At 43.1% G+C, this 10,073-nt stretch overlaps 1 pseudogene; it reads right to left on the bottom strand.

Moving 5' to 3' along the window:
• Nucleotides 4,908–5,325, bottom strand: CHCHD4P1 (coiled-coil-helix-coiled-coil-helix domain containing 4 pseudogene 1; annotated as a pseudogene).

The raw sequence follows: 10,073 nt of genomic DNA, 5'->3' as shown, positions 1-10,073 counted from the left end.
GGAAGTGCAGCACCCGGAATTACTGGGAGCTTGCTGCAGTTCCGCTTGCTGTCGCCTAGGGGCAGGGTTCTCAAACTTTTTGGTCTCAGGCCTAGAATTTGCCGGGTAAAATACAGGACGCCCAATTAAATGTGACTTTCAGGTAAACGACGAACAATTTTTTTAGCGTGAGTGTATCCCATGCAATAATGGTTTATCCGAGAGGCGTTTAACTGGGGGTCCTGTATTTTTATGTGCTAAATCTGGCAATCCAGGTCTGGCGTGGTGGCTCACGCCTGCAATCCCAGCACTTTGGGAGACCAAGGCCGGCGGATTACTTGAGCTCAGGAGTTCGAGATCAGCCTGGCCAACGTGGTGAAACCCCTTCTCTAATAAATATACAAAAATTAGCCGGGCTCAGTGGCGGGCTCTGGGGTAATCCCAGCTACCCTGGAGGCTGCGGCAGAAGAATCTCTTGAGCGCGGGAGGTGGAGGCTGCAGTGAGCCAAGATCGCGCCATTGCACTCCAGCCTGGGGGATAGAGTGAGACTCCGTCTCAAAAAAAAAAAAAAAATCTGGCAATCTTACTTAGGAACCCTTTACACTCTTAAAAATTATACTTTGGACATCGCCCTACACCTCCCCCATGTCTATACTTTTGTTTAGTTGAATTCAGAGCATGCCGTTTATGGACATCGACAAAGGGTTCAGAAAATGCCATCCACTGACATCTATGTATTAGAAATTGAAATTGAGACATTTTACAGCCTAAGATGTCAAGCGCACATTCTTCAGCCGTTGGATAATATCGTTGCAAATCCTGTGGACTCTGAAGAGTATACCGATTAGAGAATGCGGAGAAAATCGAATAGCTGGCTGTTATTCAATTCAAAACTGTTGGAAAACAGTTTTGGCTCTGAGGACCCAGCAGTTGACAAACAGCAGGCCTGGGACAAGAGCAGTATGAGAAGTCAGATCGCCTCTTTTAATGTCACTAGTCAGTACAGGCCTCGCCAGACAAGTCTCTCCTCAGCCTCACTTGGAAGAACATGCCCTCTCTTCATGATCCTGGGTTTCCTAGACTTAGTATCCTTGGAAAGGTCTTGATGAATATATTGTGGTGGGAAGCAGTGGGGAGAAACAAACGCCTATTATGTCACAAAACCACATTTAGTGCTTATAACAACCTTGGAATGAGATATTATCAGATTTTACTGTTAATTGGTGATCAACGGAGGCACTTCTATGTGGACTGGCTGTCATTATAGCTGCTGCCCTTGGCACCAATTTCGAGGAGGGCTTTGGAACAGCCCTCTGGGGTGTGGGTTGTGGCTCAGTCACCTCCCCTCTAAATCTCAGTTTCCTTAACAGTAAAAATAAGTTTCCAGGACTGTTATGGGGATTAGGGCCAACTGTAAAAGTGGCTGAGGAGACTAGGTAAAGAGTGTTGTCTCACTTTAGAACAATGCTGAAGGTGTTTAGAGCCTGCCATCCTAAAATATGCCACTTTGGCATACTGATTCTTCTGAGCCAGAGGCAATGGAGCAAAAACAGATGCAGGGAAGGCTGTCTGACCACCCTCTTTCTGTTTGAAGCGGAACATAAAAGTTCCCTTGTGAAAGGTGCCCTTTCTGTACCAGGAAGAGGAGAATATTATTGCCAGAGGCAGAGTTGCCACTGAGAAGAATCTACAAACAAAACCTTACAAAAATTTGTAACCCATATTTTCCATTAACTTTCTACATACGGTTCTTCGTCACTTTCCCACAATTTGCCAGCCTTAGCCCAAGCCCCTTTGTCTTGTCACATCCCTGCAATTTATTATTTTTTGTTTAAAAGGACATATAAGCTTTCGGGCCTAGTAACTTCTATGGGTCTTTATTTTTCTTACAAAGCCTCCTGTGCATGTACAAAAATATTAAAACTTTTATGCCTTTTCCAGTAAATCTGTCTTATGTTAGTGTAATTCCCATGCCCAGCTACAGAACCAAAGAGGTGAGAAGAGGCCAGGCGTAGTGGCTCATGCCTGTAATCCCAACACTTTGGGAGGCTGAGGCAGGTGGATCACCTGAGGTCAGGAGTTCAAGACCAGCCTGGCCAACATAGCGAAACCCCATCTCTACTAAAATTACAAAAAATTAGCTGTGTGTAGTGGCAGGCACCTGTAATCCCAGCTACTCGGGAGGCTGAGGCGGGAGAATTGCTTGAACCTGGGAGGCAGAGGTTGCAGCCTGGGCGACAGAGCGAGAGACTCCATCAAAAAAAAAAAAAAAAAAGGTGAGGAGGAAGTTTCTCCTCACCTACAGTGTGAGGAAATCTAGGCACTTGATTTCCATGCTCCTGAATGTCTCTCCATTTGGGAACATATACCTCTCCTTGCAACTCATCTGCAAGTGACTCCCTCTCATTCACTGAAAACTTTGGCCCATAACTCACCAGCTTCCTCTCCACTACAAGACACTGCCATGGATCAGGTCAATATCCACATGTACAGTTGTCCCTCAGTATCCATGGAGGATTGATTCCAGGACTCCCGATGATACCAAAATCCACAATCCATAAATGCTCAAGTCCCTTATATAAAATGGCATAGAATTTGCATATAACCTATGCGCACCCTCCTGTGTGCTTTAAATCATCTCTAGATTACTTATACCAAATATGAAATAAATGCTATATAAATAGTTCCTATACTGTATTGGTTTATTATTATTGTCATATTGTTCATATATTTATCTATTTTTGAGAATATTTTCGGTCTGTGGTTGGTTGAGTTTGTGGATGTGGAACCCATGGCTGTGGAGGGCCAACTGAATAACCACCCAACAGCAGGCTTCTCAACTCCTCCTCATCCCACTCATCTTCATCCTCTGTCCTTGTCAGCTCCCCAGTCCCTGGCTGCTGTATCCTCTAATCTTCTTAGATCATTAGGAAGATTTACATTTTTCTCCTTGCAAGTCCTTTTTTTTTTTTTTTTGGAAATCGTGCTTCCTTTTGAGTACTTAATTCACACTGTTTCCTCTCTTGGATGCTACTATGGTAACAGTCAGGTCCTCTCCTCTCAAGAACATTGCATCTGACCAGACTGAGAGCCAGCGTGAAAGCCAGCCTGAACATGGGCCCCAAATCAGGGTTTTTGGAATCACAAGGAACAGCAAAAACCAGCCTTTCCCTTCACTTAGAAAGGGACTGTGAATAGGAGGGCCCCAATCTCCACCATCCAAACAGAAAACCAAGAGCTCAGTGCCAACATGGAAACCAAAATGTATCAGGAATGAAGTACAGTACCCCCTCACATACTCAAGGTCAAGATGGGTTTGGGGAAATACCTATCTGACCATCTGGCCTCTTCTAGTAGGCATGGCCCCACACCAGCATTTTTAAAAGAAGATGTTTTCATTCTTCTTACATTTTCTAAAGGGGTATAAAATCTACTAAAAGGGATATAATAACTCAGAGTAAATGAGCTCACAAGAATCATTCCTGGATAATCATTTTTGGTTGCTGAGATTATTCAGCACATTACTTCAAAGTGGCAAAATTCAGGGCAATCTGAGAAAAGAGAATTAAAAAGTGGTGGCCACATTTGCTGACATGTTTATGTAGGACGCACATAACACAACTCCCATTTTTTTCAGTGTGTATGTCAAGAGGCCAAGACCCTGATCATCAAAATAAGTTATTTTGTGCATTACAGTGCACAGGACAACAGAGGGAATAACACTTTCTTGGAGGGTGTTGTGGGAATTCAGGGACCCCAAACGGAGGGACCGGCTGGAGCTGTGGCAGAGGAACATAAATTGTGAAGATTTCATGGACATTTATCAGTTCCTAAATAATACTTTTATAATTTCTCATGCCTGTCTTTAATCTCTTAATCCTGTTGTCTTCGTAAACTGAGGATGTGCGTCACCTAAGGACCACTGTGATAATTGTGTTAACTGTACAAATTGATTGTAAAGCATGTGTGTTTGAACAATATGAAATCAGTGCACTTTGAAAAGAAACAGAATAACAGCGATTTTTAGGGAACAAGGGAAGACAACCATAAAGTCTGACTGCCTGCGGGGTCAGGAAAAGATCCATATTTTTCTTCTTGCAGAGAGCCTATAAACGGATGTGCAAGTAGGAGATATATCACTAAATTCTTTTCCTAGCAAGGAATATTAATATTAATACCCTGGGAAAGGAACACATTCCTGGGGAGAGATCTATAAATGGCCGCTGTGGGAGTGCCTGTCTTATGCGGTTGAGTTAAGGACTGAGATACGCCCTGGTCTTCTGCAGTACCCTCAGGCTTACTAGGGTGGGGAAAAACTCTGCCCTGGTAAATTTATGGTCAGACTGGTTCTCTGCTCTCGAACCCTGTTTTCTGTTATTTAAGATGTTTATCAAGACAATACATGCACTGCTGAACATAGACCCTTATCAGTAGTTCTGCTTTTGTCCTTTGCCTTGTGATCTTTGTTGGACCCTTATCAGTAGTTCTGCTTTTGCCCTTTGCCTTGTGATCTTTGTTGGACCCTTATCAGTAGTTCTGCTTTTGCCCTTTGCTTGTGATCTTTGTTAGACCCTTATTAGTAGTTCTGCTTTTTGCCCTTTGAAGCATGTGATCTTTGAACATACTCCCTGTTCTTACACCCCCTCCCCTTTTTAAAACCCTTAATAAAAACTTGCTGGTTTGAGGCTCAGACGGGCATCATGGTCCTACAGATATGTGATGTCACCCCCAGCGGCACAGTTGTTAAATTCCTGTCTTTGTACTCTTTCTGTTTATTTCTCAGCCAGCCGACACTTACGGAAAATAGAACCTACTTTCAAATATTGGGGGCGGGTTCTCCCAATAGGAGGTGACTGAAAGGCACTGTGCAAAAGGCCTGTATCACTCTGTAGTAGAAGGACTGGAGCCCGGTGCCTTGTGGACTTCATTAACTTGTCCGCACCTCTTCTTTGGTTGCAGTGGCCTCAGTGGGAGCAGTTTCTTCTATATGTTCTGCTGACTTCTCCTCTTCTTCCTCCTCATCCTCTTGGGGATAGAGGTCCAGGTGTTTCTACATGCATTCCTGCATGACCCGGAATTCATCTACACAGTCTTTCCCCTTGAGATCCTCTGCACTATAGTGGAAGCAGAAAAAGGCCAACTTGAACTGTTCCCCACAGGGGCCACTGGCCATTCCCCCAGGGCACGAGCAGTTCCAGTTAATGTCTTCATTTGGCAGCATCAATCCATGCTGTGTATGGATTGTTGGGGTCATCAGCCACCAGCTCTACATTGCTTGGAGTTTTGTGGTCATCTTTGGTCACAAATATGATTCCATCCTTCCCTTCCTGCTGGCAGTAGGACATGGCTGCAGCATATAGACCAGTGCTTAGATTTTGCAGAAGCAGCCACAGCAGCTGCCCCATTTTTTTTTACAAACTTTTAAAATTAAGTATGATACACATACTCTAAAGTGTACAACTCATATGTGTATAGTTTAATTATCACAAAGCAATGACACTCAGGCAACCAAATCAAGAAACAGCCATTACTACCAGAAGTCCCCCTCTTGCCCTTTATGGAGAAACAACCACTATCCTGACCTCTAACACCATAGATTTTGTAGTTTCCCTTTATCAGTTAGGGAAATTCTTTTCTATTCCTATTTTTATCATGAATGTGTTTAATTTTATCAAATGGCTTTCTCTACAAGATGATCATGTTTTTTTCCCTTTATTAATGTGTGGATTACATAGACAGATTTCTGAATGTTAAATTAACATTGCAATTCCTGGAATGAACCCAACTTGGTTGTGATGTATTATCCCTTTTACATATTGCTAGGTTTGGTTTACTACTCTTTTGTTTAAGAATTTTACATCTATGTTTGTAAGTGACACAGACTTATAATTTTTCTTTCTTGTAGTATCTTTTTGAGTTTTAGCATCAGATTGTGATAGCCAAAGTAAGGACTTTGGATTTTATTTTCAGTGTGACAGGAAACTATTTGAGGTTTTTATATAGTGCTGATAAGAAAAAAAATCTCAAATATTAAAAAGGAAAGAAAGCAATTTAGAAAACAGTACAGAATAAGATTACTTTGTGTAAATTAGAAACTTATGTGTGTGTGTTTTGCATTTTTTAAGTTGTTAGAACTAAAGCTAAGAATTATTGACAATAGATGTTAACAGGGGTGATAAGGGAGTTTTTGATTTTGTGTTGTTTGACATTTTTTCACCATATGTATGCATTACTTTTATTTAAAAATATAAACAAGAAGAGAAAGTATCAAATGGAAAAGAAGAAAATAAGGGCAGTTTGTTGACCCTAAAACTCTCTCCCAGCCAGAGACAGTAGTGCATAGTGGACAGTACCTGGTTTGAGGGCTGGTGACTGGACCTTGTCTCTGAGGCTCAGTTCATCTGTAAAGAGAATGATATTGTCCACCTTAGGGCTGTGTAAAGATTTCATCAGTTACTGTGCTTGGCACATTGTCCTGATTCAATTAATGGGGCTTCTCCAAGCAGCAGCAGCTACAGTACGACAAAATTCTTGTATCTGCTTTTTTTTTTACTCCTAAGAGTTTTAATTAATGAACCTTGTAACATTTAAATCATGCAAATTAGACTGCATGCTGGCACTGACAATCCCCTGGGGAATTCGGCATTCTTCTTTTTCCCTTACTGTGAAATTTAAGGCCATAGGAGGTATTTATTTTTGTGTCCACAGCTTACACACACACCACCATCACCACCACCAGAATTTTCTCAGTCATTCCACAGGTACTAATACATGCTATGTATTAGAGCATAGCATAGCAGTAGTGTATGTGAGGACAAATAAAGACTACTAAGTAGAGAAGACGATGACTGGGGGGTCAAATGGGGAAGGGAGGGAAATGGGTAGGAGAAAAGAACTTAAGAAGGCACTGTAATGAAGGCTCCAACTCAACCCCCTGCCCCCTCAGCTGGTATCTCCGGAAGAACAGGAGCCACAGTAGGCCTGGCCAGGAGAGAGCTCACAGACTAACACAATATCTTAGTCCATTTGTGTTGCTGTAACAAAATACCTGAGAATGGGTAATTTATAAAGAACAGAAATTCCTTCCTTCCTTCCTTCCCTCCTTCCTTCCCCTTTCCCTTCCCCCTTCCCTTCCCTTCCCTTCCCTTTCCTTTCTTTTCTTTCTTTCTAAGTTTCACTCTTGTTGCCCACGCTGGAGTGCAGTGGCATGATCTTGGCTCACTGCAACCTCTGCCTCCTGGGTGCAAGGGATTCTTCTGCCTCAGCCTCCCGAGTAGCTGGGATTACAGGCATCTGCCACCACACCTGGCTAATTTTTGTATTTTTAGTAGAGATGGGGTTTCACCATGTTGGCCAGGCTGGTCTCAAACTCCTGACCTCAGGTGATCCCGTCAAAGTGTTGGGATTACAGGTGTGAGCCACTGTCCCCAGGCAGAAATTTATTTCTTACAGTCCTGGAGGATGGGAAGTCCAAGATCAAGATGTTAGCAGGTCCAGTGTCTAGAGAGAGCCCATTCTTCATAGATGGTGCCATCTAGGTGTCTTCACATGGTAGAAGGGCAGAAATGCAAAAGGGGACAATTGCTAGTTCCTCTAGCCTTTTTATAAGGTTGTTAACCCCATTCACGGGGGTTCCACTCCCAAAGGCTCTGCCTCTTAATACTATCATATTGGTAATTAAGTTTCAACACATGAAAATTTGGGGGGACACAGTCAGAACATAGGATGCAATGAGAGATACTCAGCCTGGATCCAGAGCTCATAGAGACAATTTGGTACCTATGGAATGGCTGAGAAAATTCTGGTGGTGGTGATGGTGGTGTGTGTGTAAGCTGTGGACACAAAAATAAATACCTCCTATGGCCTTAAATTTCACAATAAGGGAAAAAGAGGAATGCCGAATTCCCCAGGGGATTGTCAGTGCCTGCATGCAGTCTAATTTGCATGATTTAAATGTTACAAGGTTCATTAATTAAAACTCTTAAGAGTAAAAAAAAAAAGCAGATACATAAAATATGCATGCATATTTTCTATATTTCTATGTTTCCAAAGAGATCACATCCACCACATTTTGTGTCTTGACGAGTATGGGCAGATGTGGAATTCCTTGACTGTGCACCCTTCTCCTGGATATCTCCCGGGTTGGGGGAACACTGCCACTGAGCCTCTGTTTACATAACTGTTAAATGAGGAGAGCAAGAGAACATACCCTGTAGGGTTGATATGAGGATTATACAAAGTAGTTCATGTGAAGTTATCAACAACTTTTACATCTAGTAAGTGCCTTGTTAATGTCAACTATGAGGCTGATAAGAAAGAAGGAGGAAGCATTTCTTTTGACTGGATCTTGGTCAAGTCATTAATTATACCCCTCACATGTAATCATGTAAATCATGTTAATTACATTTTGGAAAAAATTAACTCAAATTCCCTATTTACATCAGCAAACTAGAGAGAGATACTGAGGACTGGACAGGGAGAAAATGAGAGAGACTTGTGAAACTGCTAGAAGGTTTGAGGGAGGAGAACCAGGGCAGATATTCCTAGAAACCTTTTGTTTTTTAGTTTCAGGAGGTACACATGACATTTGTGTCTTCCATTGCAGGCACACCTTCTATGTTATAACCTAATGGCACTGCTTTCTATGTGGAGTGTGTGCCCCACAGTTCTCACCCTCATGCCTTGGCTCAGGGTGTTCTCGGTGCCTGGAATGTGTCTCCTCCCAACTCTTCATACCCAGCCCTGACCATCTCTCAAGAATCGGCTCAGGCCCATGATGGAAGTTACATCTCCTTTCCCAACTCCCTGACTTTACATAGCTGTTTATTTCTTTATCTCTCCTTTTTTTTCTTCAACTTTTAAGTTCCAGGGTACATGTGCAGGATGTGCAGGTTTGTTACATAGGTAAATGTATGCCATGGTGGTTTGCTGCACAGATCAACCCATCACCTTGGTATGAAGCCCAGAATCCATTATGTAGCTGTTCCTTTCTATTGCTCTTCCTTCTCTCTTAGGCATTCACTTTTGTGTCTCCTTCAACTGACTATAAACATCTTGAAGACAGGAAGTATGGCCTTTTCTTCTTTTGTTTCTTCCACTTCTCTGCTCCTTGCGCACAGTAGGCATGCACTAATTAGCAGTTTAATGAATGGGTTAATGTATCAGTTAGCCTTTTCTCAGCAGCAGCCTCTATTCAGGACAAGTTTCTGCTCCCACTCCCCTCCCTGCCTAGAAATTCCAGGAAGAGGAGCTCATCCCAGCTGTCCCTGCCTGGTCGTCTGACTTCTCCCGCCACACTGCCTGAATCGGGCCCCTCCACGACTCCTCACTGTCCTGCAGCCCACGGGTAGCCATCTCCCTGTACCAACATCATCATCATTCACCAGAAAAAACAATGCACACTTTATCACACACAAGTCTTACTTATTTGAAATATCAGGTTGATGCAAAAGTAATTGCAGCTTTCACCATAATTTTTTTTTTTTTTTTTTTTTTTTTTTTTTTTTTGAGACGGAGTCTCGCTCTGTCACCCAGGCTGGAATGCAGTGGCACAATCTCGGCTCACTACAACCTCTGCCTCCCAGGTTCAAGCAATTCTCTGCCTCAGCCTCCCGAGTAGCTAGGATTACAGGCGCCTTCCACCACGCCCAGCTAATTTTTGTATTTTTAGTAGAGATGGGGTTTCACCATCTTGGCCAGGCTGGGCTTCAGCTCCTGACCTCAGGTGAACCACCCACCTCGGCCTCCCAAAGTGCTAGGATTACAGGCATGAACCACTGAGCCTGGCCTTGCCATTACTTTTAATGGCCAAAACCACAATTACCTTTGCGCCAACATAATAACTGTGCAGGATCTCTGATGGGCTCCTCTGGTGGAGTTTCATAAACATCTTCCTCCTGCTTAGGAGACAGTGATGACATGGTTGAGACACACCACGTCCTCCAGGAGCCTCTTGTTCCCTGACATGGAATCGGTTTGGAGATTTGGGTGCAGTCTTGCCTAAGGCAATAAGGAGTGCATTGGCATGCCTCTTTGACCAGAATGAGGCTTGGCAGATAGCGCTTGACTTAGGGCCCCTCCACCTAGGTCCACC

The sequence above is a fragment of the Homo sapiens genome, chromosome 7 (genome assembly GCF_000001405.40).
Source record: "Homo sapiens chromosome 7, GRCh38.p14 Primary Assembly".
NCBI lineage: Eukaryota > Metazoa > Chordata > Mammalia > Primates > Hominidae > Homo > Homo sapiens.
Note: the sequence above shows the minus strand (reverse complement) of the source record. Positions and strands in the feature narration are given on the sequence as shown.